The 27693-nt window shown below is 42.6% G+C and overlaps 1 protein-coding gene across 2 annotated transcripts in view, besides 2 other annotated features; it reads right to left on the bottom strand.

Moving 5' to 3' along the window:
* The window catches only part of LEPROTL1 (leptin receptor overlapping transcript like 1), a 42941-nt gene extending 25705 nt beyond the window's left edge, over positions 1–17236 (bottom strand). The window contains exons 1-4 of one of the 2 annotated variants that reach the window (NM_015344.3): positions 17116–17236; positions 10671–10746; positions 8158–8344; positions 4120–6898 (exon numbers count right to left, since the gene is read on the bottom strand). In NM_015344.3, the coding sequence (NP_056159.2) occupies positions 6782–6898; positions 8158–8344; positions 10671–10746; positions 17116–17131 (396 nt within the window). In that variant the 5' untranslated portion in view covers positions 17132–17236 and the 3' untranslated portion in view covers positions 4120–6781. Of the gene's footprint in view, positions 1–4119; positions 6899–8157; positions 8345–10670; positions 10747–17115 lie in introns of those variants that run through there. The other variant, NM_001128208.2, reaches the window with a different exon arrangement.
* Positions 16929–17388: a silencer, noted in NCBI's record as "silent region_19075". NCBI's record gives its function as "represses an Ori minimal core promoter by ATAC-STARR-seq in GM12878 lymphoblastoid cells {active_cell/tissue: GM12878}" and the evidence as "EXISTENCE:reporter gene assay evidence [ECO:0000049][PMID:35858748]".
* Positions 19504–19673: an enhancer, noted in NCBI's record as "active region_27209". NCBI's record gives its function as "activates an Ori minimal core promoter by ATAC-STARR-seq in GM12878 lymphoblastoid cells {active_cell/tissue: GM12878}" and the evidence as "EXISTENCE:reporter gene assay evidence [ECO:0000049][PMID:35858748]".

Raw genomic sequence — 27693 nt, 5'->3', positions numbered from 1 at the left:
GCCTCCAGAACCTGGTATGTAGCCCCTATGCTGTGATGTGTGCTACCATGTAAACCCTCCAGGAATTTAGAAAATGGTTACAAAGGCCGGGTGCAGTGGCTCATGCCTGTAATCCCAGCACTCTGGGAGGCCGAGGTGGGTAGATCACCTGAGGTCAGGAGTTTGAGACCAGCCTGGCCAACATGGTGAAACCCTGTGCCTACCAAAAATCCAAAAAAAAAAAAAAAAAAAAAAAAAAAAAATTAGCTGGGCATGGTGGCGCACACCTGTGATCCAGCTACTCGGGAGGCTAAGCCAGGACAATCGCTTGAACCCAGGAGGTGGAGGTTGCAGTGAGCCGAGATCACACCACTGAACTCCAGCCTGGGCGACAGAGCAAGACTCCATCTCAAAGAAAGAAAAGAAAAATGGTTACAAAGTTAGCGTCCCAACTCTGAATAGTGTTTTGTTTGGCAAGGGTCTGAAACAAAGCAAATTGTGGCATGTCTGGGTAACAGGTGGATATGATGAACCAGTTTGGATCTGTGTTCCAGAACCTTGATTTTTATTTTCCATTTCTCCCTTACTACTCCTTTACTCCTATCCAGGTGATATGGATGAGCAAAAACTTGGTAGTCATCACTGACTCCACTCTGTCTTCCACACAACTCATCAGCAAACCTGCTTTTATTCCTTTAAAATATAGCCTGAGTCTCACCACTTTTTATATCTCCATGGTATCTGGGATCCAGAGATCATCGTGTCAGAATCAAAAAGCTGTCCCCAACTGCCTCTGAAACCTCAGGATGCTGAAGAACCCCAGACTGCTGCTCCAAAGGAATTCTCACATCCTGTGACCCTGCTGGCTGGCACAAGACCCACCAGAGCAACAGAAAACCACCCCCCACCCGACCTCTTTCTGTCTCCCAAATCTTTCCCTTCCGTGAACTCCACACTTCTCTCTTGGCTTGGAGATGAATTGGCTTCGATATATTTCTGTCTCTCTTATCTCATTAGATTACCACTTCAGAGAGGGACTGTGCTCCAAGATTTTCCTGTTTCCAGTAGTACCTGGAATGCGGCATGTAACTGCCACTGGGAACAAGGAAGTTTTCTAGAGGAAAAGCTGAAACCAAATGCGGAATTTCAGCATAACTACCTCATGACATAGCCGAAGTGAAATACAGAGATGTGAACACCAAGTTGTTTCTACCTAATACACTGGACATTTCTTAGCATCTGGGTTTTTAAATGTATATATTTTTGAAATCACTGTTTTAAGCACTGTTTGGATTTAGTTGATAATAAATTATTTAATTTAAATAATTACTAGGCCATTTAAATTAGTAAATGACAAACATCATTTGTAGTATGAAGTATAGCTCAAAACCATCTTCTTTTTCTTTTAATTCTTAGGGACTAACACCTTTGTCTTCACTGCTACACTCAGTTAATGTTTAGAGCCAATTCTTGCTTATGTTTTGGAAGTTGATGATTTAGACCCTCCCTGACAAAAATAAATCCACCTACACTTGGTTTAATCCTAGGAAGTTGTTTCAATTGTAAACCCTTTCAGAAACAATCTTCAAATAGATGACATAAGTAAACCTAGCTTTCAGGAAAACATCTGTCCTATTTTGGGGAGGTTCCCAAATCTACACAAGTTCATTTACTTTTATGTCACAGTTGTATTTACATGATATTATACAATAAACTGATCTACCAAGAGAAAAAGATACTTCCAATATTAAATGCCAGACACACTATATATCAAGATAATTAATAAATACTAATGCTTTTACAAACAGATATGGAAATACTCAGGTTTATTCTTTAGTATTTTATTCTATTGGCTGGTTTCTATGGTTGTAAACTGCCACAACGCTTCTCTTTCATAGTATTAGACATTCTATTTGCTTTTTTTTTATTTTGGGACAGAGTCTCACTCTGCCACCCAGACTGGAGTGCAGTGGCGTGATCTTGGCTCACTGCAACCTCTGCCTCCTGGGTTCAAGCGATTCTACTGCCTCAGCCTCCCAAGTAGCTGGGACTACAGGCGCCACCACCACACCCGACTTAATTTTTGTATTTTTAGAAGAGATGGGGTTTCACTATGTTGGCCAGGATGGTCTCGAACTTTTGACCTCAAGTGATCCGCACCGCCCCCCAACCCAGCCTCCCAAAATGCTGGGATTACAGGTGTGAGCCACCATGCCCAGCCTCTACTGGCTTTTGAAGTAAAAAAAAATTCCTGATTCTGCCCCCACTACACACACGCGCGCACGCACACACACACACGGAGTACTGCCTCTAAATACAAAACTCTGCAGAATTACAGTTGAAAGATAAGTGTTTTATGGTCTTAATCTCTCACTCATAGAAACAGGTTTGGATTTGCTCTGTTCCCACCACCCTCTGCTAGAATTTACAAGCTTAACAGTTAATATCTGAATTACTGTGACTAACCATGTGTATGGGCATAAACCCACAGATGAATTCAAATAATCTTCAAGAGACTGGAAGCAAAGCATACAGTATAAAGTTTCTTGTAAAAATAAACTGTAAATCTATCTTCATCCCTAAACTTTCAGTAACTAAACACAAAGGGTGAAGTGAGATATAAGACCCTGGAAATCAGACAAAGGTCTATGAGTATCTTGAGCTCAGAATAACCCCAACATTAAAGTGTAGTAAACTTAATTATAAGCCTTCTTCTGCTGCACAGCATGGTAACACCTCCCTTATCTGGTGCTCCTTTTGCAATCTCAGATTATCTAGTATACAGTTAAAAATTATTTTTTTCTTAAAAAAGCCTTTCAAGAGGAAGAATACCTGTCACAAAGCATTTCATTTGTGTAAGAGGTAGGAGGCACCCTAATTAAGTCCACTGATGTACTGTGTACAGAAATGTTACATAATTGATTTAATAAGCTTGGTTGCCTTATTTTTTTCTTGACCACTTTCCACTCTTCCTAATATACTGTAAGTCAGCAACTTGGAAACAAAATAAGTTAAGGGGTGCTAGAAACAAATACTCAGTTGTATGAAAAGGATCAAAAACACAATTCCAGAAAAATACAGGTCGGCAGCCACTTACAATGGGGGGGAAATAGTTTATGATGATAGTCCTAAATTACCAAGGAAAAATTAAAGTGTTTTAATATATTCTAAGAAAGCACATGTGTACAATCCATTTAATACTTTCATCAAATGATTAAAGTAAAACAAACATTAGTTCTTAGTAAGCTAAGCTTCATTGATCTAAAATATTTACCTACAGGACATGTTTTCTTCCTTGAGAATGCCATAAAATGAACAGACCTGTAATAAAATCAGAGCTCCTAATCTTCACTGAAAGAAAGGGCAATACAAGCTTATAGAGAAGAAATACGAATTTCAATTTCCCACCAATCGTATACATCATAAAGCATCCTGGGATCTAAAACACACATACCACTTAACAATAACGTTGTGTTGCTTGTTAACTTTGGTGCATTGATTAAAAGTTATCTGAAACTTAAAAATCTAGTCACATTCAATATAAATATCCTAGACTTTAGAAATCTGGATTATTTTGGCCAAAGTGTGGTGGCTCACGCCTGTAATCCCAGCACTTTTTTTCGGGGCGGGGGGGTGGTTTGAGGGGGGTTGTGGTGGTGATGGCTTGAGGCCAGGAGTTTGAGACCAGCGTGGCCAACATGGCAAAACCCCATCTCTACAAAAAATACGAAAATTAGCCAGGCGTGGTGGTGCAGGCCTATAATCCCAGCTACTCAGAAGGCTGAGCGGCAGGGCGATAACTTGAGGCCAGGAGTTTGAGACCAGTGTGGCCAGCATGGCAAAACCATGTTTCTACAAGAAATACAAAAATTAGCCAGGTGTGGTGACCTATGCCTGTAATCCCAGCTACGTAGGAGGCTGAGGTATGAGAATCGCTTGAACCTAGCAGTTGCAGTGAGCCAAGATCGTACCACTGCACTCCAGCCTGGGCACAAAGCAAGTCTCAAAAAAAAAAAAAAAATCTGTATTGACAATGTCCCCAAAATCATATTAGAGCAGACATTTAGTGTCCACAGCCTAAACTTTTTAAAGTATATGATAAGATTATAATTAGGACAATTTGGGACACGACTAATATTTGAAAATACAGAACAGTACTTTTCTCTCTTCACAGTGTACCAAACAGAAATATTTTTTGTTTAAAATGTTTGCAAAAAGTAACATGCTATAATAATGAGTGGTAATAAATACATAATAAGAAGTCATAAAAATGTTCTGAAAATTTAAGAAGTAGGACCTTGCCTTTAGATCAGTAGTAGTCTTAAATGTCAACAAAACCTTTTATGACTATTTTTGTAAAAGATTTTGTAAAAATTCTACTTCCCAGATTACCAATCCTTTTACTACAGCTCAAAATTACAGGGCTGCATTGTAATATCTGTAACTATGGTTTCCATTTTATTTTGGAATGGAAACTTCTGCAACTCTAACATTACACCAATGTCATCTTGCTTTACATCACCTTATTAGAATGTTAATGCACTTCAGAATGAAAGTGTGCCATATATTTTCATTTCAAAAACACCCACAAACTAAAATAGATATTTAAAATCTTTATTGTTTCATCATCAAAAGTTTTCTTTCCATAGAAGAATGGTAATATTGTATCAGTGCATATTCTATGGAAAATTCATATCTCAAGTAACTAGCCTAGAAATCAGAGACAGCACTATGTCAAGCTAGTATACAAGGTCAAAGACACAATGCTGCCAATGCAGTTAGTATATAGAAATAATACGCAGCTGTTAGAAAAAGTCTGTGGCCAAGTGGATAAAACAGTAGCAGTGCACTGCACTGACATCCAGAACAGAAAATAGGGAAGGACCAGAGAATGCACTTCCTGCAAAAAAAAGTCCAGTAGATCACAAGCACAAAGAGTTCCCAACTGTCTCACCAGCTCTCTAACTCATGTGTACCTGCACCTTCCTCTTGAAATCTGAACATTATAATACCACAAGCCACTTTCAGCCTCCAGTGGGAAGGCTCCAGCCACACGCCGATATTTCGTCCTGCTTCCCGTCATCTCATATCTAAAAGTCATGGCTTAAGTTAGGCAATAAAACCTGTGGCTTTAGGCATCTTTAGTAAAAAAGCTGAACAAATCCCAAATTTATTCCCATTTTCTTGAGAAATAAACTTCATAAAACAACAGACAGCTGTCATGATTACTGAGTTTTGGCTGATGGCGAAATAATTTTTATGTAAGTATACTGAATAAACATACAAACAAATATCCTTAACAAAATACTGTCAGACCAACTTGAATGTTTTTATAACCCACTCCTGAAAAAAGTCCTGATAATTATTAGATGTAAACGACCACTATAAATTGATCATGCCTGGTTACTGGGAATTTTTTGGTCAGGTATGTTTCTGAAGCTGCTATATAGCTGGACTTGGCTACTTTGCATTAACTCACACAACAAATGCCTTTTATAAGGAAACAGCAGATCTATCATGATGAACTCAAAATCAAAACAGTTCAGAGGTATACAGGAAACTTGTCTTAAAAATACTTTTAAATTACATATGATATAACCTTAGAGAATAAGAACTACTATTACCATGGTCTAAATCTTAAACTGTTAATGCATGAATTATCTGTAAGACTAACAAGTTACTTGTTAATCATGGCAAGGCCTTGCAGGGGAGGGGGCACTCTGAATGTACGGCATAGCAATTATTTTCCAGGTAAGTAAACACTTCTAAGTGTTATTAAACTATATTTGAAAAGTTATTTTATGTAATATATACAACATACCAAATAAGTCAAAAGGAGGAAGCAGAGGAAGGTTTTCTGGCATATATGATGCAAACATACAACTGTCCCTCATCAGTAGTGGTTCCATGTATGTCCATTTTAACAGGGTAAAACATGAAAGGTTGATAGGAGATCACAAATTTCACTTATAAATAGAAACAGGATTCAAAAACTGGAATTTCAATGTCATTTCTTCCCACATTGCAACTCACTCTAACAATAATAAACATAAATAAAAACCTTATCTCAAAAATGTTTTTACACCCTTACCTTAAAGTTTAACATAAATTCTTCTAACAATTGAGAAGAAAAGCACTCCTCTGTAGCAATTCCATAAAATAATTTTCAATCCACAAAACATCTGTCTACCAGTAAAACCAACAACCCTTAACGGAGGGCATGGGCATTAACACTTGGCCCCTCTGAGGTATAAATGCAGCTATATTTGCACTGAGTATACAGTCTATAACGTATGCCAACCGTCTGTATGTCTGCATAACATTGGGAGTGATGTCATCCTGACTGACTGAAAACTTATTTTTATAATTTTTTGTAATAATGGAGGCTAAATAATTTTAAGAGAAAAGATGTACTTGACCAGTAATAGAGCCGGCGGAATTCTGAATTCCTAACCAATGCAAATGATTACATTAAAAAAGTGTTTAACATTGCATATTGATTCCAAAAAAAATCAACCTAACAGGAAAAACACATAAATATTTAAATTCAGCAGGACACCACAAAAAGCATACTATAGATAAGTGTGAAATCAGTCAAGCTTTTCCAAAAGAGAAAATCCTTTTAATCCTTCAGCAAGTCTCTGTGAAAATAGTATGCTTACAATAAAAGTGAGAAGGGAGCACCTAAAATACCCCCAAGAGGCTTGCTATACCATTCAGCATTAACTGCCCCATCTCCTGTGTGCGTGAATGGCCAACAAATGACAGGAAGTCCATTTGACAATAGTTCAGTAATTTCTTTTCACCACTGCTGCCAGCTGAAGTCGTCATTGCTTCCAAAGACCAAGAAAAAGCCTAGTATAGTTGCAAAGATGACTGTGTTTCCTGTGAGAACAAGTGCACAAGCTCCCCACTCAATCTATGGAAATAAGATACACTCAGTCAACAGGCATGAAAAACGAAAGGAAAATAAAAAAAAAAATCAAGGCTCTAGTTGTATCCCAATTATGATCTAAAAGAAGCATGCCTTGTAACAATAATTGTCACAGTGCTGAACACATACTTATAAATATATATAGTATAAATATATATAGTAAAAAAATATATAGTATAAATATATATAAATATATACAGTATAAATATATTTATAGTATAAAAGTGGTACTTTTATACTAGTATTTTCATTTACCTTTGGTTCCTTTAAAAAGAAAGTCATGAAATGACCATTCAAAAACAAGCTTGACTTCTGGGCTATGAAGAAGCAGCATAAAATTCTACAAGTTTCTGTTTATAAAGGAATGTGCTTACTCTTCCTTAATATAAAAATCTATCTAGAGTAGATTAAATTTTAGCATATCACAGATGGAAACACACCCATGTACATTCTTTTGAAGGGGTGGGAAAACAATTGCCTTCTCCATATGGCTGTCTTCTCTACCTCCCCAGAGATGAAGGCGCGTGGATCAGTGAGTTTGGGAGGAAGAACTGAGTACCCGTAGCCAGCCCCTTCCCCTCTTCAGTGCTTTTCTGCCTGCAGAGCACATGCACCTTCTCAGGTCTTCCATATTTTAGGTTTTACAGGATAGGCCTGGGTTGTTCAGCACTGGGGGAGTTGATATGCTCAACTCTGACAGTTAAGTATTAGCAAGCCAGACGGGTGCGGTGGCTCATGCCTGTAATCCCAGCACTTTGGGAGGCCGAGGCGGACGGATCACGAGGTCAGGAGGTCGAGACCATTCTGGCTAACACGGTGAAACCTCGTCTCCACTAAAAACACAAAAAATATCAGCTGGGCGTGGTGGCGGGCACCTGTAGTCCCAGCTACTCGGGAGGCTGAGGCAGGAGAATGGCGTGAACCCGGGAGGCAGAGCTTGCAGTGAGGTGAGATCACGCCACTGCACTCCAGGCTGGGCGACAGAGCAAGACTCCATCTCAAAAAAAAAAAAAAAAGAAAAAAAAAAGTATTAGCAAGCCAACAGCTGCTGCAGATCCAAGCCACGTTCTCCAATATCACTTTTATTAGTTAACAAGAACAAACAATAAAGTGAGATTTTAATCTCTATCTTCTAGGCTCTTATGTCTTTCACCTCTTTTCATGTCATTAACAAAAACTTTGCTTGAGAAAAATGTAACACATGTTCAATATAAAATCATTAATGGAAGAATATATTCACTTACCAGATGTGCTCTGGCAAATACAATAGGGAGTCCAAAAGCTGACACGACAATGCCCGTTGTAAGAAAGATGGCAAGTTCCTTACAAGCGTTACTCATAGCATCTGTATCATCCACTAATCTTCTTGCTATGCAGTATGGAATAGGTGAAAGGATGTAAAAAAATAGAACAAAGAGGGGCCAGTATTTGCTAGAAAAAGAAAAATAAGTTAATGTAATTTTTGCTATGTCATTTTCCTACACACAAAATATGGTCTTTTTAAAAAATCAAGATTCAATCGCTTGACTTCTAATGGATGATACCCAACCTTAGCATAAAGCTGAAACAACCCTAAACTTCCCTTACAACACGAGGAACTCCCAAATTACAGAAATCAAAATACAGAAAAGAAGCTAAAAGTAAGAACACTTTCAGTCAGAATATAGAATTTATCACAATAAAAATAGATGGCTTTTACTCTACATCTAGTTAACTGTATTGTACCACAGTCATTTCCTGGTTTTGATAACTATGGTTATGTAAGATCTTATGACTCTGGCAGGCTGTGTGGAGGGTACAGGGGACCTCTGTGTATGATTTTCACAACTTCTTCAGAATCTAAAATTGTTTCAAAATAAAAAGTTAAAAAGAAATAGATGCCCTTAAAACTACCATAGAATAAAATAGGTATCATGGTGGAGATCTGATTGTACAGAGGCTAATGATAAGCAGCTACTTATGTTTCCTAAATTTTTTTTTTTTTTTTTTGAGACAGAGTCTCGCTCTGCTGCCCAGGCTGGAGTGCAGTGGCATGATCTCGGCTCACTGCAACTTCTGCCTCCTGGGTTCAAGTGACTCTCCTGCCTCAGCCCCCGTGACTAGCTGGGATTACAGGCGTGCACCACCATGCCCGGCTAATTTTTGTATTTTTAGTGGAGATGGAGTTTCACCATGTTGGCTAAGCTGGTCTTAAACTCCTGACCTCAGGTGATCCACCCACCTTGGCCTCCCAAAGTGCTAGGATTACAGGCATGAGCCACTGCGCCTGACCATTTCCTAAATATTTTAAGAAAAAAAATTAAAAATTGAATATATGCTTAAGAAAAATAATTCAAACAGTACAAAAGCACAAAAAGTAAAGACTAAAAGTTCCAAATCTCCTCTTGCCCACTTTCCTATTGAGCTTCTCAGGGACCCTTCCACATTTCCACATAAACTTTAAAATATGAATGGGTCCCTGCAGTTTTCTAACAATATGTCTTGAACATATTTACATGTTAGCACTTACAGCTCTTCCTCATTCTTTTTAAGACTGCCTAGTATTTCCATTAAAAGATTTACTATAATTTAACCATTTTTCTTTTGAAGGACATTTAGGATGTTTTCAGAATTTTTTTTGGCTCTTATAAATAACGCATAAAACAACAAAACAAAAACAAAAACCAAAAAATAAACAAGGCTGCTTGAACATCCATACTCTCCCCCACTAAATATATCTTTGTAAACATCTGCAAGTGGGTTTGTATCAGAAAGTCTAACAAGTGAAAGGGCTAACTCAAAGAATATATACTTTGAGAGCTACAAGCAAACTTATCTCCAAGAAAACTATCTATGTGTACTCCCCCCACAGCACAAAAGAGTCCCTGCTTGCCCTGTCTCTTGTCTTTGTCAATAGATTTTGTTTAGTTTTGAGTGAGGCTGGGGATATTTTTATGTGCTTATTAGCAATTTGTAGTTCTCTTTTTGTATTTATTTTTCTATTGAGTTGTCCATCTTTTTCTAATTTATCTAAATGTTAAAATGTTAACTTTGAGAAGTTCTTTCTATCCTAAGGAAAGAAATTTTTTTTTTTTTTTTGGAAACAGAGTCTTGCTCTATCACCCAGGCTGGAGTGCAGTGGCGTGATCTTGGCTCACCGCAACCTCCATCTCCTGGGTTCAGGCGATTCTCCTGCCTCAGCCTCCCGAGTACCTGGGACTACAGGCATGTGTCACCACGCCTGGCTATTTTTTTGTATTTTTAGTAGAGATGGGGTTTCACCATGTTAGCCAGGCTGGTCTTGAACTCCTGACCTCAGGCAATCCTCCCGCCTTGGTCTCCCAAAATGCTGGGATTACAGGTGTGAGCCACCGCACCCGGCCGGAAAGTAATTGTTTACATCTCTCTCTTTTTTTTTAATTGTGTTTTGACTGCTTATGGTATTTTTTTGCAAAAAGACATTTTAAATTTTCTTGTAATTAGTATTATCAATAGATGTTAAAAACTGAGCAGGAGGGCTGAGGTACTGTGTAGCTATCTTGCCACTGCAGACTCAGCAGTAGTGAAAGAGCAGGTAACAGCCAAAAATATTATTTGCATCTTGGTGTCCTAAAATCTTTAGAAACAAACTTTAAGTGGTGATTTTTACAAAGGTATGTGTTTGGTAAGTGAACATTTCTCTGCATTACTTTTACAGTAGTAAAAAAACATTTTTTTAAGCTTTAAAAGTAGAAAAATTTTACCCTTAAATATTCAGAAAGACAAACATTTTACATACTTGTATATTGGAAGGGCACATCCAAGCATCAAAAACATCAGTCCGATTGCTCCTCCAAAGGACAAACTAATCAAAGCTGCAAAGCAAATAAAAAGTGCAACAGGAATATAAATTAAATATTATTTTTATTAATATCAGCAGTCTGAACATTATCTGTAACCTCAGAAGCAAAAATCCCTAAAACGTATTAATAGCAAGTTGCCATCAGAAGTGTAAGTTATCTAGTCTTAGAATAAGTCTTCTGTGGTATCTTCAAGGCAAAATGAAGTGACACTGGCCTTTTTTTTTTTTTTTTTTTTTTTTGTGAGATGGAGTTTCACTCTTGTTGCCCAGGCTGGAGTCCAATGGCTTGATCTCGGCTCACCACAACCTCCACCTCCCAGGTTCAAGTGATTCTCCTGCCTCAGCCTCCTGAGTAAGCTGGGATTACAGGAATGCACTACCACATCCTGTTAATTTTCTATTTTCAGTAGAGATGGAGTTTCTCCATGTTGGTCAGGCTGGTCTCGAACTCCCGACCTCAGGTGATCCACCTGCCTTGGCCTCCCAAAGTGCTGGGATTACAGGCGTGAGCCACCACATCCAGCCAGTGACACCGATTTTTAAAGCTCTAACCTACTGCTAGTACCCCACCATATTCCCCAGACGCTGGTTCCCTTTCTAAAGAGTCAAAGTCCACAGGCTCAATGCTCTTCTGGGCATTAGAATTATATTTACTTCACAGATCACTACAGTTTTGAAAAGCAGTATGTGGAGAAACTCCACATGCTCAAGTTTACTGGACTTTAGAAACCTCATCCTATAGGAAAACCTCTTCTAATCAGCTCCTGTTTCTGGCACATACACTCTCAATGTGCATAAAACTGACCAGAAAAAATGCCCGAGAATATCTGTAGTTAATGATTTTAATCAATTAATTTTGTTGCAAATCTTTAAATAGTTTGCAAAAGTAGAGCTGGGTTTCCTTCCCTAATCTACATTAGAAAATCTGTAGGACAATGGGTTATAATCCTTCTGAGGTATCACTACTTTAACATGTTATTATAAGCAATAGATGCATTCTACAGGTGAAATATAGTTTCTAAAGCTACGCGCGCACACACAGACACACACACACACACACAGCAGTACATTTTAAGGTGCTCTCACGTTAGTGAATAGAAACAACTTTCTTGAATAGGCATAGTTAACCAATGACCTAGACTAAAGCAAAGAAATAAATGATAGCCGAGTGCAGTGGCTCACGCCTGTAATCCCAGCACTTTGGGAGGCCAAGGCGGGCGGATCATGAGGTTGGGGGTTTGAGACCAGCCTGGTCAGTATGGTGAAACCTTGTCTCTACTAAGAATACAAAAAATTAGCTGGGTGTGGTGGCACATGCCTGTAGTCCCAGCTACTTGGGAGGCTGAGGCAGGAGAATTGCTTGAACCCGGGAGGCGTAGGTTGCAGTGAGCCTAGACTGCGCCTTTGCATTCCAGCCTGTGCGACAGAGCAAGACTCCATCTCAAAAAAAATAAATAAATAAGTAAATGATAAATTTATTTTGAGTTCTATATAACCTGTATTTCTACAGTTACAGTGGCTAAGAAAATAACTAGTTTTGTTGTTGTTAGGTCATTTTATTAAAATTCAAAAGTTAAAATTCGAAAGATTTGTAGAAGGTCTAAAAGTTACCAAAACAAAGGCTAACATAGAGAAACCAAAATGAACAGGAAACAAGTTAAACTTTGCCAAGTACTACTGATATACTCTGCACAACTAAAACAGTCATAATCAAGGACACCCCATGACATAGTGGCTTGGCAGATTTGGTTTTTGGTTAGATCGCTGATGCAGGTCATGGCAACCCCGAACACATCACTTAGTCCTGAATACCATTCTATTTCCAGCTACAGGAAAAGAATTGCATTTTTACTTTACAGCAAACGAGGCACTTCAAGTTTACAGGGGAATGCAATATAAACTGTAAGGAAAACACTGAATTTACCATTTGTTTTCTTCAGTTCCAAATTGGTTCTCATGACCGGGCCCTGCCCACCTCTCCTGTGACGTGTCACACCAGGCTACTACAGTGTCCCTGAACCCTCACTTCAGTTATACTGGCCCTCTTTCCTTTCCTGGAAATCAGCAGACTTGCTCACTCACGTGGCCTGTGCACACTTTGTCCCTTCTGCCTCAGACATTTTTTCATTCAAGAAATATTCACTGAGCACTAAATATGTGACAAGCACTAGGGATACAACAGTGAATGAGGCATGGTCCTTTCCCACTCCTCTCTACTTTCCTCCAACTTAACTCCTGCTTTTCCTTCAGATCTCAGCTCAACCAGTGAAGTGTTTTTTTGCTGGTTTTTTTTTTTTTTTTTTTTTTTTTTAAATGGAGTCTTGCGCTGTCGCCAGGATGGAGTGCAGTGGCGCGATCTTGACTCACTGCAACCTCCGCCTCCCAGGTTCAAGCCATCCTCCTGCCTCAGCCTTTCTGAGTAGCTGGGACTACAGCTGTGCACCACCATGCCTAGCTAATTTTTTTTTTTTTTGTATTTTTAGTAGAGACGGGGTTTCACCACATTGGCCAGGATGGTCTCCATCTCTTGACCTCACGATCTGCCCACCTTGGCCTCCCAAAGTGCTGGGATTATAGGCGTGAGCCACTGCACCTGGCCTCAGTGAAGTTTTTCCAAACCTCCTGATTAGACCAATTCCCTGTTATATTTATTTATTCATTCCTCTAACAAACATCTATGGAGCACCTAACGTGTGTCAGATACTGTTCTTGCTACTGGAGACAGAGCAATGACAACAATCAAAGCTTTTGCTCTCACGTTCTAGTGGGAGAAGAAAATGATTTTTAATAAGCAAGTGAATAAATGTCAAGTGATGACAAACGTCAGGTAGAGTAAGGGATGGGAGTGCTAGTCTAGATACAGTGGCCAGGGAAGGCATCTCTGATGAAGCACCACCTGAGCAAAGATCTGTATGAGGGGAGGGAGGAAATCATGTGGGTATTTGGGATGAGTATTCCTGGCAGAGACCCGTGTATGCTGAGGTCCTCTGTTCACTGAATGCCTCTCCTTTGCTCAATTATCAGCTGCGATTTCCTACTGGTTTGTATTTTGTCTTTCCTTCTCAACTGTCCATTTCACGAAAGGAGGGAGCAAGTTTTTCTGTTGTGATGATCGTGCCTGGCTCTTAACACTCAACAAATATTTGTGGAATGAATGTAGCAGAGTGGAAGCAGCATGGAACTGAGACTCTGGAGGGTCCAAGGCCCTAATAGTTACTAACTAGTTGTCCAAGTAATTTATGAGTCTCAGTTCTTCCTTCTCTAAAATGACAGTTGGACTAGATCTTAAATGCAGATAATTTTCTGAACACTAAAGGTACTGTTAAGACAGCTAAGTCCATTACTATAAATACTACCTAGTAACACCTCATTCATTCAGAAGCCATTTATACGCAACTTAGAATCCTGGAGAAAACAAAGGCCACTAAAAAGAGACAAAATAGATGTTACAAAGCCCATATACTAAAGCCAACATTCTCTATAAACAGACCCTTAAGTTCTTATTTATACTAACTCATTTTCGTGACACAATTGTTAGATGGGAATTCAGAGTAAAACACATTTTTATTTTAAAGAATCATCTATGCTCACTTATATATATTTTTCAATAGGTAATTCATATACCCAGAACAAAAATTAAGTGAAAAGGAACTTTCTCTTATCAAAAGTAATCACTATTACCTATATACCTTGTGACACAAAATTTTCTAAGTTTATCTTCCCACACTGAAACAAATGGGAATTAGGAGAAAGAGTTGCATACAAGCAAGAATTGCCCTTTGACAGGAGGGAGGAAACAACAAAAAAAATTTAAACCAGGCAGAAAAATCTCAAAAAGCATGTTCACGGTAATCTCCGCAAGAGGCAAGCCACCTTAGGACCATGAGGGCCTCTGAAGGTGGCTGTTCTGTGACAGAGAACAGTCATTCAAGTTTTTATCAAAAAAGAAGGCCTAAATTCTTTGATTACACTCTTACAAAGTTAATGAAAAATGATTCCTTAAAAAAAAAAAAAAACCAAGGGACTAAAATGAGATAAGGCTCAGGTATCAAAAAACAATTTTAAAAACATAAACCAAGATTGTCTTATTGTAAGTGCTATGAATATGAATACTGGAATAACATTTGTTTGGGGGAATCAAGATACCTTGAGATAATACTTCTACTCCATTAAATACTAAATATGTGTGTGTGTGTGTGTGTGTGTGTGTGTATATATATATATATTTTTTTTTTTTTTGAGACAGAGTCTCACTCTGTTGCCCAGGCTGGAGTGCAGTGGCGTAATCTTGGCTCACTGCAACCTCTGCCTCCCGGGTTCAAGCAATTCCCTGCCTCAGCCTCCTGAGTAGCTGGGATTACAGGTGCCTGCCACCATGCCCAGCTAATTTTTTTGTATTTTTAGTAGAGATGGGGTTTCACCATCTTGGACAGGTTGGTCTTGAACTCCTGACCTCATGATCCATCCGTCTCGGCCTCCCAAAGTGCTGGGATTACAGGTGTGAGCCACCGCGCCAGGATTAAATACTAAATTTTTTTTAAATATTCATAACACAGTTTGATGTGACATCTCATCTTCCAGTCATACCGAATAAGGTAGCCAATTAGAGGTTAAATAAATTGCTTAAAAGTGTTCTCAAAACTTGCAGTTTCTTCAATCTTATGAAATTGGCAACTAGGAAGATTTATATATACACTTCATCATTTGTATATAAGCTGTTTCTTAAATGACACATCAACAAGGCAAGAATTCATACAGTAATTGAGTGATGCAACATTTGGAAGACAAAGCTTAGATAAGTCTGGGTTCTACTCCCAAAGCCTCTAGGCTAGGCATGGAGCAGCCCAATTATCTAGCAAAACTCTCTAGAGACAAGATGCTGATTCTGTGATTACAAAGAAATTAGAGTAGAAGGAGGGACCACTTCTCTAACCTGGGAGTTACCAGAAAATCCAATATATCAAAAAGTAATAGACAAATGGCTCAAGCAATGCCTAATGGTCTCTAATTACAGCAACACTCCTTCCTAATATAAAGATATTAGGCCAAGAGAAAGAAACATACTGACTCATAACAACCAGAAAATCCTGCTGAAATCAAAAGTGCAGTTCACCTGAGGCACCTTCATCAGTTTAATGCAGTATTTCCCTAGGTCTGGAGAAGTAAATTACAAAGCTATTTTCTTAAGAGACCCCCGCATTATTGACACTGAAGAAACAGGGAAGAACAGGGAAACGGGCAACATCCTAAAAACCACAGCAATTCACAATAACTGCCTTTCACATAAGGGTTTAGAGTCTATCATAGTTCAAAAGGAGATTACAAAGTATCCCAGTTGCTTAAATGACAAGGTTTTATATGGGAAATGAAATGTTTTCAGACATTGAAAATAAACAAGAAACAGTAAGACTGTGACCCTGAAAAAAAACTCGATTAAGTTTTCCTTAGAGAAGAAAAAATACAAAGAAAACCACTGCTCCCAAAGTTACCTGCTTCCTGCCTGACTGCCCTTCTACAGAGCGGCAGGTCAAGAAATCAATGTAATTAGTTAAGCAGTAGCTGAAAACTTTGCTTCTCATCACACTGACAACAAAACTACCTAACAGGTGGAACAAATGCAACATTCCTTTTTTTAAAAGAAAATACATGAATAAGCCAGTAGTTTTTCATTAAGTTGTACCAGTATTTTATCTTCTTAAAAAAAAAAAAGGAAAAAAAGAAAAATTTTGAAATTTGAAAAAGCCTCAGGGTGCAACTGCGGAGAGGGAAGAGAGCCAGGAGCACTTTGGGGTCGCCTACAGGATCAACTCTAGGGTCCAGACACCGCAGATGAAAATGCACCCGTTTCGGGAGCCTGTAAAGCCTCGGGCGCGGGCGGCCGGGGTGGACGTGGGGTCGAGGTTTCGGGCAGACCCGTGCAGCGCCCGCAGACCGCACTTGTGCCTTTCGGTGGGAAATGACTGGTTTTCCATAGCTGGCATCTCTAGCAGCCTCAGCCTTCTCAATCCCACGCTCTGCCTGCCTCTCTCTCGGATGCAAACTCCTGCAAAACGTGTGTGGCCGTCCAAGTCGCGACGGGACTCCTCACTGACCGCCAACCACTTCATATTTTGTCCGGGGGGCGATGGGTGGGAGAGAGGCTGCCGAAATCGGCAGAAAGTGGGGGCTGCGGGGCGAAGCCGGGGTCGCAACCGTCCGTTGCCCGAGGGCGCCGCGCCCACCTCCGGGCCAAGCGCAGGGCCGGGGCGGGGGTCGCTTCCCCGGCGCAGGGACCCCACGCGCGCGCGCGAGCCCGGAGGGGAAGTGCGGGGGCCGCGTGGGACCCCCGGCCCATCTTCCCCCGCCGGCCCCAGCCCTCCCGCGTCCTGCAACCCAGGCCCACCTTTGATGCCTGCCATGGCGGTGACGTCGCTCCTGGCTCCACGACCCGAGGCGGCGGCGGCAGCAGCGGCAGCCGGGAGACCCAAGACGCGCTACGGCGGCCAGACAACACCCGGAAGTGCGCGACGCAGCACTTCCGCCGGCGACTCGGGCTCGCGCGGGGGCGCGGGGGACGCGCCGGGCTGGGCTGTGGGGTCGACCCCCTGCCTCTCTTCTCCGCGGGTGTGCAGATCGCCGCCGGCCGAGGCTTGCCGCCGCCGCCCCGACTGGGGGAATGAGCAGGCGCCAGGTCTTGAATTCCTGTCAGGGCCGGTCTGGGGGCTCCCTGCTGAAGCCCCTGTCCCTGATCCCGCAACCTCCCGCGTGCGTTGGGAAGGGGTCGCGGGTAGCGGCCGTCCTTTGGATGCACGTGTGATGGCTTTTGGCTTAATTTCACATTGTTTTGTTTGTTTTTTGAGACAGGGTCTCTTTCGCCCAGGCTGGAGTGTGATCACGGCTACTGCAGCCTCGATCTCCAGGGCTCAAGTGATTCTCTCACGTCGGCCTCGCAGTAACTGGGACCACAGACATGAGCCACCATGCCTGGCTTTTTTTTGTTTTGTTTTGTTTTGTTTTTTGTAGAGACAGGGCGGGGTGTGAGACTCTCATCTTGTTGCCCAAGCTGGTCTCCTGAGCTCAAGGATCTGCCCTCCTCGGCCTCCCAAAGCGCTGGGATTACAGCTTGATACCCTACCTTGTTTTAACCTGATTGACTCGCTCTTAGCTGAGAGAGCGGGACAGACTCCATTTTGGTTTCTTCGCTTGCAGCACCTTGTCCCCCTCCCTTAAGGACATAACTGGTGCAGACTGACACCAAGCACATCCAGGAATGTGCTTACTGATAAGATACTGAGGCAAGCTGTACCAGCAGCTCCTGGGAACGCGCTCGGTTGATGGTACCCAAAGCCCCTGCGTTTATCTCTTTGTGATAATTTAAGCCCCATGCACCTGGAACTGTTTATTTTCCTGTAACTGTTTCTATAACCATTTATCTTTTAACTCTTTGCCTGTTCTGCTTCTGTAAAAATTGCTTCAGCTAGACTACCCCTTCCCTATTTAGACCAAGGTATAAAAAGAAATCTAGCCCCTTCTTCAGGGCCGAGAGAATTTTGAGCTGTAGTCGTCTCTCGGTCGCCGGCAATAAAGGACTCCTGAATTAGTCTCAAAGTGTGGTGTTTCTCTATAACTCGCTCGGTTACGACAACAGGTGTGAGCCACTGCGCACATTATTTTACTGCGCCTTTTCCTCTCTCCCTCCATCCCTCCATCCCCAGTCCTATAATTAAGGTTAGTTGGGTGGTCTGCACTTGGCTCCTTGGTTTCCTATACAGGACTAGGGTTCTGGTGAGGACCCACCTCCAGAGATAGGAGCAGCAGGGCTCAGTAAAGGGTGGATTTAATAGAAATCCAGTCCCTTGGGTGGCTGTCTTTTTGGTAGTAACAAGGCAAGGAAAAAAAAGTGAAAGCCCAGGTTCAACACCTTTATTTACACATCCTACAATTATTTATAGAACATTTACTATGTGTTAGGCACAGGGTTAGACGCTGAGATGTGCAAAACCAGGTACTGTTTGCAGACTGGTGAGGAAGACAGACACACAAAAAATGTAAAATTGCAATAATGATAATTGCTAGTAAAGGGGATCAGAATATGTCACTCTAAAATATGCCACTTTGAAGTCTGGTGTGGTGACTCAGGCATGTGATCCCAGCACATTGGGAGGCTAAGACAGGAGGATCGCTTTGGCCCAGGAGTTGAAGACCAGCCCTGGCAACATAGTGAGACTCCATCTCTACAAAAACGAAAAAAAAATTAGCCAGGCTTGGTGTGTGCCTGTAGTTCCAGCTACTTGGGAGGCTGAAGTAGGAGGATTGCTTGAGCCTAGGAGGTCGAGGCTGCAGTGAGCTCTGATTGTGCCACTGCCTGGGCAACAAAGCAAGACTCTGTCTCCAAACAAACAAATAAATGTCAGGCCTCTGAGCCCAAGCTAAGCCATCATATCCCCTGTGACCTGCACGTACACATCCAGATGGCCGGTTCCTGCCTTAACTGATGACATTACCTTGTGAAATTCCTTCTCCTGGCTCATGCTGGCTCAAAAGCTTCCTCACTGAGCACCTGGTGACCCCAGCCCCTGCCTGCCAGAGAACAACCCCCTTTGACTGTAATTTTACTTTACCTACCCAAATCCTATAAAATGGCCCCACCCCTATCTCCCTTCGCTGACTCTCTTTTCGGACTCAGCCCACCTGCACCCAGGGGAAATAACCAGCCTTGTTGCTCACACAAAGCCTGTTTGATGGTCTCTTCACACGGACACGAGTGAAAATAAGGCTAAGGATTGTTTTGAGCTGAAAGCAAATAAGAAGCAACAGGCATAGGAGGAGCTCTCTGCTCTCTCCTTTTCTACCCAAAGGCCGTGCTTAAGTTCCCTTTGTAAAGATAACATAAAGTTCCACTTTTTGTTTTGTTTTGTTTTTCTTTTGAAACGGAGTCTCGCTCTGTGGCCAGGCTGGAGTGCAGTGGTATGATCTCGGCTGACTGCAACTTCCGCTTCCTGGGTTCAAGCGATTCTCTTGCCTCAGCCTCCCAAGTAGCTGAGACTACAGGCACGCGCCACTACGCCCAGCTAACTTTCAGTCTTGCTCTATCGCCCAGGCTGGAGTGCAGTGGTGTGATCTCAGCCCACTGCAACCTCTGCCTCTTGGTTAAAGTGATTTTCCTGCCTCAGCCTCCCAAGTAGCTGGGATTACAGTCATGAGCCACAATGCCTGGCTAATTTTTGTATTTTTAGGTAGAGACAGGGTTTCACCATGTTGGCCAGGCTGGTCTTGAACTCCTGGCTTCAAGTGATCGGCCCACCTGGGCCTCCCAGAGTGCTGAAATTACAGGTGTGAGCCACTGCGCCTGGCCCCCAAAAAATGTGTAAACAAATTTTTCTACTTATAAATATTTACATTTCCCAGACCAGGGAGAGGATGCAACTCCTATGCCCCAGTAAACAGCATTTATTGGAGTCTGTGAAAACATTACTAAAATAGCCCTTATCTTTCATTAGTTTTCCCCTATATATTTACCTTCTTAAAATCTACTGCCCCTAGAAGTCCAAAACCTTTCCTTTGTCTACTTTTCCACAATGCATCACCCTTTGTTAAAATGATACATGCTCCCAGGCCTAATTACTTTTTGAGTTTTCACTTCTTTTCTGTGAAGCCTCCTTGTGCATGCAAAATAAACCTTTTTTTTTTTCCTGGTAATCTGTACTTTGTTAGTTTAATTCACAGTTCTCAGCTTCTGAACCTAGGAGGGTAAAGAAAGTTTTTATCCTTTCCTACACTAGGAAAGATGGGTAAATAGTTCTCTGAAAACTTTTGATTGCGATCTGCCAAGGAAAATTTCCCCCAAGGAGAGACAACACAGTGATGAATAAATGTGTTAATAGAGAACGGAAAAGCCATCGCAGGTGGCGGGGTGTGTTGTTTGTGTGTGTGTGTTTGCGTGTGTTTGTGTGTGTGCGTGTTTGTGTTTGTGTGTGCCTGCATGTGTGTGTGCATGCATGTGTTTGTGCGTGTTTGTGTGTATGTGTTTGTGTACGTGTTTGCGTGTGCATGGGTATTTGTGTGTGCGTGTGTGTGCGTCCTTGTGCGTGTTTGGGTGTTGTGTGTGTGCGTTTGTCTGTGCGTGCGTTTGTGTGCGTGTCTGTGTATGCGTTTGTGCGTGCATGTGTGTTTGTGTGCGTGCGTGTCTGTGTTGTGGGCGTGTTTGTGTGTGCCTGCATGTGTTTGCGTGTTTGTGCACGTTTGCGTGTGTATGCATGTTTGTGTGTGTGCGTGTGTTTGTGCATGTGTGTTTGTGTGTGTTTTGTGTGTTGTGTTTTTGTGTGTTTGTGTGTTTGCGTGCGCGCATGTATGTATGTGTGGTGGGGAGTTAGGAGCTTTGGCAGCAAATGGAGCAAGGAACTTGCTTGGTCCCTTGGAGAAAAGAGAGGTGGCCAATGGGGTTGGTCAAGGTTGGGGTGGGGCAGCATGCTTATATAGTAGGGACGTACACAAGCAGTTTTGGGTTTTCTCTCTGAGCAATAAAAATCTTTTGAAGGTTTTAAAAGGAAGTAGGTGGGGGTGAGCTACGTACGATTTGAATTTTTAACTTTTTTTCAGTCATCAGACTAACATAAAGTGGCATGTAAGACTGTGGAGTGAATGTTTAGAAGAGATATTTCCAATATGCTTTAAAATGAGAGCAAATGGGAAGCTTGAGGCATTACCCACTTCGCTTCTCTCTACTATTTCTAGAGTTGAATTACAATTTAAACAACAACAACAACAACAACAAACAGGTCACTTCTTGAGTCTTAATGCACCAAATGAGTCTATGGGTGTTTTGTAGGAGAGTAGAATTTTTTTCTGTTCAAGTTAGTGCAGAAAGATCTACCATCTCTTTCCTGTATCATGAAAAAAGTTTCCATTTAAGGATGTGGTAACAAAACCACAAGGCACACTTGAACATATGCCATGGAAATACACGCTGTTTACACGGAATCTGTGAGCCACCAGCTCCTTTCTCTAAACTACTGAAGCAGGCATATACGTCCTTCTCCCCAGCCATCTTGAATGGATAGGTGGAATTCCTGGAGAAGTGAATAATTCCATCCCACATGTCACCTACCACAACACCTTTTCTTGTTTTGTTCTGTGAACCCACAATATGTGAGACAGGTCTCAGTCAATTTAGAAAGTTTATTTTGCCAGGGTTGAAGACGCACCCTTGACACGCCTCAGCAGGTCTTGATGACCTGTGTCCAAAGTGGTTGGGGCACAGCTTGGTGTTATACATTTTAGGGAGACATGAGACATCAATAACTGTATATAAGGTGTACATTGGTTCGGTCTGCAAAGGCGGGACAACTCAAAGTGGGGAGGGGGTGTCCAGGTCATAGGTAGATAAGAGACAAATGGTTGCCTTATTTTGAGTTTCTTTTTCTTCCTTTCTTTTTTTTGAGACCAAGTCTCACTCTGTCACCCAAGCTGCAGGCTGGAGTACAGTGGTGCGATCTCGGCTCACTGCAACCTTCAACTTCTGGGCTCGAGCAATTCTCCTGCCTCAGCCTCCCGAATAGCTGAGATTACAGGTGCCCACCACCACACGTGGCTAATTTTTTTGTTCTTTTTTTTGAGGCTGGAGTGCTGTGGCACCATCTGTCTTCTGGATTCAAGTGATTCTCCTGCTTCAGCTTCCCAAGTAGCTGGGATTACAGGCATGTGCCACCACACCTGGCTAATTTTCGTATTTTTAGTTAGAGACGGGTTTAACCATGTTGGCCAAGCTGGTCTTGAACTCCTAAGCTCAAGTGATCCACTTGCCTCGGCCTCCCAAAGTGCTAGGATTATAGGCATGAGCCACCATGTCTGGCCTCTTCTGAGTTTCTGATTAGCCTTTCACTGAATACACAATTTACAGGTATAGTCACTTATGCTTTAGTCTGGGTTAGTGAAAAAACAGGGCAAAGGAAGCAATCAGATAAGCATTTGTCTCACAGTGAGCAAAGGATGACTTTGAGTTCTCTCTGTCCTTTGTCCACAAGGAATATCCTTGTGGGCAAATTGTGAGGTAGGTATGTAGCTTTATTTTTTTCATTTATTTTTATTATTATTTTTATCTTTGTAGCTATCTTATGTAGGATAAGATAGCTACAAAGATAAATTTCCCTTTTTTTTTTTTTTTGAGGCAGGGTTTTATCCTGTTGCCCAGGCTGCAGTGCAGTGGAGCAATCACAGTCATGGTAGCTTCCTGTCATGGCAGCCTCCACCTCCAGGGCTCAAGCTATCCTCCTGCCTCAGCCTCCCGAGTAGCTGGGACCACAGATATGCACCACCATGGCCCGCTAATTTTTTACTTTTTGTAGAGGCGGGGTTTTGCCATGTTGTCCAGGCTAGTTTTGAACTCTGGGACTCAAGAGATCCTCCCACTTTGGCCTCCCAAAGGGCTGGGATCACAGGTGTAAGCCACTACCCCCAGCCTGATTTGCTCTTTTCAGTACAAATGTGTTGGCATTACAGATGTCCTTGACAACATTCATGGGCAACTGGGATTACTCATCAGGTTACAGGAATCTACATTCTTTTCTTCCATGGTCACAGAATCCTGAGAGATTGTGCTCCTTATCTTTCCCATGAGATTCAGTGTTTCCAGCACAAAAACACTCATCACTCTAAGGACCATTTTTGGTTTACTGGTCTAGGGACCAGTTGTGTCCGGAATTGGTGGGTTCTTGGTTTCACTGACTTCAAGAATGAAGCTGTGGACCCTCACGGTGAGTGTTACAGTTCTTAAAGACGGTGGGTCCGGAATTTGTTCCTTCTGATGTTCGGACATGTCCGGAGTTTCTTCCTTCTGGTGGGTTCGTGGTCTCGCTGACTTCAGGAGTGAAGCCACAGACCTTCGCAGTGAGTGTTACAGCTCTTAAAGGTGGCGCGTCCAAAGCTATTCGTTCCTCCCGTCTGGAATTGTTTGTTCTTCCCAGTGGGTTCGTGGTCTCGCTGGCTTCAGGAATGAAGCCGCAGACCTTCGCTATGAGTGTTACAGCTCATAAAGGCAGCACAAATCCAAACAGTGAGCAGCAGCAGCATTTATTGCAAAAAGCAAAATAAGAAAGCTTCCACACCCAGGAAGGGGACCCCAGCGGATTGCCGCTGCTGCTCTGGTGGCCTTTCTTTATTCCCTTATCTGGCCCCACCCACATCCTGCTGATTGGTCCATTTTACAGAGAGCTGATTGGTCCGTTTTGACAGAGTGCTGATTGGTGCATTTACAAACCTTTAGCTACACAGAGTGCTGATTGGTGCGTTTACAATCCTTTAGCTAGACACAAAAGTTCTCCAAGTCCCCACCCGATTAGCTAGACACAGAGGCTGATTGTTGTGTTTACAAACCTTTAGCTAGACACAGAGTGCTGATTGGTGCATTTACAGCCCTTTAACTAGACAGAAAGCTCTCCAAGTCCCCACCGGTCCCAGAAGCCTAGCCGGCTTCACCTCTCACTGGCGCTCTTCGCGGGATTTTGCGGCACTTACCCCGGGTGCTCCAGTAGCCCAGAAGGAGCTTGTCCCAGACAACCAAGAGGAAAAGAGGGGAAGCGAGAAAGAGAGGGAGACCCGCCATTCTGGCCAACGACCCTGCGAAGAGGGAATGGCGGTGCACGCACGGGACCCAGCCTCTGATCAAGCCCAGCAGGCGCCGGCCAGCTGCGCTGAGTGCTGGGCCCGTGGAGCCCGCGCCCACCCGGAACCTGCGCCGGCCCGCGAGCGGTGAGCGCCGGGCGCAGCCCCGGGTTCCGCCCGCGCCTCTCCCTCCACACTTCTCCGGGAGAGGAGGGAGCCGGCTCCGGCCTCGGCCAGCCCCAGAGAGGGACCCCCACAGCGCAGCGGCAGGCTGAAGGGCTCCTCCAGCGCGGCCAGAGCGGACGTCCTGGCTGAGGAGGCGCCGAGAGTGAGCGAGGGCTGCTAGCACGTTGTCACCTCTCACAGTCACTTGAGACCTTAAAAACAGTGTGTCTAAATGTTGTATTTCAAGGACCACCTAAAGCAGAATACTTTGGGATGCCTTCCAAATTCTTGACTGCTACTCCCGACCTTCTGAATTTAGAACTCTTGTGGGTAAAGCCCGGAATCTGAAAAGTTAACAAGAATCTCAAACAATTCCTGTGCAAACTAAAGCAAAGCTTGAAAGTCATTGTCGGAAAAAAGGTAGAATGTCAGTTTTCTCCACCAGTTTTCCAAGGGAACCCTAAATGCTAGTTAATGTCATATCCTTTAAATGTTCTCTATTGTTATGTAATAGCTAATTAGTGTTACCTTTCAGTTTCAATACTTCTTATATGGATGGTTTTCCATTCTCCAAAGTTAAATGGTGGAGATGAGAATGTGGATGAGAGGAAGGGAATTCTTACTTTTTCAGCAGGTGCTATTTGCCTGGTGCTTTAGCATTCATCTCATTTAATCCTCTTCACAATTTTGTAAACTGAGAATTACTAACTCTTACAGGTTGATTCAGAGAAAGCTCAGAGGAAAAAAAATCTTTTTTTGGGTCAGGGTCTCACTCTTGTCACCCAGGCTGGAGTGCAGTGGTGTGATTTCGGCTCATTGTAACCTCTGCCTCCCAGGCTCAAGCTATCCTCCTGCCTCAGCCTCCCGAGTAGCTGGGACCACGGGCATGCACCACTATGCCTGGCTAATTTTTTTTTTTTTTTTTTTTTGTAGAGACAAGGTCTTCTTACGTTGCCCAGGCTGGTCTCGAACTCCTGGGCTCAAGTGATACACCCACCTCGGGCCTCCAAAAGTGCTGGGATTACAGGTGTTAGCCACCGCACCCAGCCCCTCCTGTATACTTTAAATAATCTCTAAATTATTTATAATACCTAATAACAATGTAAATACTATGTAAATAGTTGTTATACTGTATTGTTTACAGACACCAAAAAGTCAGTCACCAGAAAGACCATGTGATTAGAGTGTTAGAGGGTTGGAAATTTCAGCCCACCCACCAACCAACAGGAGAGATCGGGGGCGGGTGGCTGGAGATTAAGCTCTATACAAACTCTTAGACAACAAGATTTCATGAGCTTCTAGGTTGCTGAATACAGGGAGGTGCTGGGAGGGTGGAGTGCCCAGCGAGGGCATGGAAGCCCCATGGCCTTCTTATCTTTGCCCTATCCATCTCTTCATCTGGCTGTTCATCTGTATCCTTTATAAATCCTTTACAATAAACTGGTAAACATAAAATATTTTCCTGGACTGACGTCTGAATTGGGGCAGTCTTGTGGGAGACTGGGCCCTTAACTTGAATTGAGTTATAGGACATCGTGTTGATGTCCTTTAGAGTTGGTTGGTGTGTAGGGAAATACTCCCCCAGCCCCTCTTCTGGTCACAGAACTGCTCTGTGTTTTGTGCCAGTAGAAAGGAGAAAACAGTTTGTTTTTTCCTTTTACAGCCTCATCATTTAGCTCTCAGCTCAAATGGTAATTTCTCAGAGAATCTTTTCTGGGCCATCCTACTTGTTATGGCACTACCTGTCATATTGCTCTGTTTTCTTCTTCAAGGTACTTATTATTATTTGAGATAGAGTCTTGCTCTGTTGCCCAGGCTGGAGTGCAGTGATGCAGTCATGGCTTGCTGCAGCCTCAACCTCCAGGGCTCAAGTGATCCTCCCACCTCAGCCTCTTGAGTGGCTGGGACTACAGGCACATGCCACCACATCTGGCTATTTTTTTTTTTTTTTTGAGACGGAGTCTCACTCTTTCGCCCAGGCTGGAGTGCAGTGGTGCGATCTTGGCTCACTGCAAGCTCCGCCTCTCGGGTTCACACCATTCTCCTGCCTCAGCCTCCTGAGTAGCTGGGACTTAGGCACCCGCCACCATGCCCAGCTAATTTTTTGTATTTTTAGTAGAGACGGGGTTTCACTGTGTTAGCCAAGATGGTCTCGATCTCCTGACTTCATGATCTGCCTACCTCGGCCTCCCAAAGTGCTGGGATTACAGGCGTGAGCCACTGTGCCTGGCCACATCTGGCTAATTTTTTAAAAACAATTTTTTGTGGAGATGGGGTCTTACTATGTTGCCCAGATTGGCCTCAAACTCCTGGTCTCAAGTGATCCTGAGCCTCGGCTTCCCAGAGTGCTGAGATTACAGGTGTGAGCCACCGTGCCTGGCCCAAAGCACTTATTTATTTGAAATGACATGATTTGTTGGCTACCTCTCCCACTAGAATGTTTATTATAACAACCTTTCATCTTTTGTTCATGACTGTCCAGAACTGTACATGGTACATGGTGGGAATCTAAAATAACAAACATTCTCTTGTTAAGGTAATTAGTGATTTCTACATTGCAAAATTCAGAGACCAAATTTTGCTTCAAGCTTTCAGCAACAGTGGACACTGTTGACCATTCTTTCTTTCTCTCAATTACCATATCCTATTGTCCTAGTTCTTCCTCCTTCTTCACCAGAGGTTACTTCTCAGATTCTTTCTAGAATCTTCTGCTTGAGGTTCAAATGTTAGTGTTTCCATAGCCTGGGCCTCCTTTTTTGTGGTATCTCAATTCTCTCATGTTACTGTGTCTCTTCCCACATGTCTTAGTTCATTTTGTGTTGCTATAACAGAATACCTGAGACTGGGAAATTTATAAAGTATAGAGATTTATTTCTTATGGTTCTGGAGGCTGGGAAATCCTAGGTCCAGGGGCCTGCATCTGGTGGGGAGCTTCCTGCTGTGTCATTTCACGGTGGTAGGCAAAAGAGAAAGGGAGCTGAACTCATCCCTTTTATCGGGAACCCACTCCCCAATAACTAACCCACTCCTGTGATAATAGCATTAAGAGCTCTGCCCTCATAACCTAATCACCCCTTAAGAGTCCCCCCTCTCAACACTATTGCTTTGGGGAATAAGTTTCCAACACATGAGCTTTGGGGGACACATTCAAACAATAGCATCATGACATTAAATGCTATCTTTATATTTACAACATAACTACCAAATTTACCTTAGT

The sequence above is a fragment of the Homo sapiens genome, chromosome 8 (genome assembly GCF_000001405.40).
Source record: "Homo sapiens chromosome 8, GRCh38.p14 Primary Assembly".
Taxonomy (NCBI): Eukaryota; Metazoa; Chordata; class Mammalia; order Primates; family Hominidae; genus Homo; species Homo sapiens.
The sequence above is the reverse complement of the archived record's forward strand: the minus strand, read 5'-3'. Positions and strand labels throughout refer to the sequence as shown.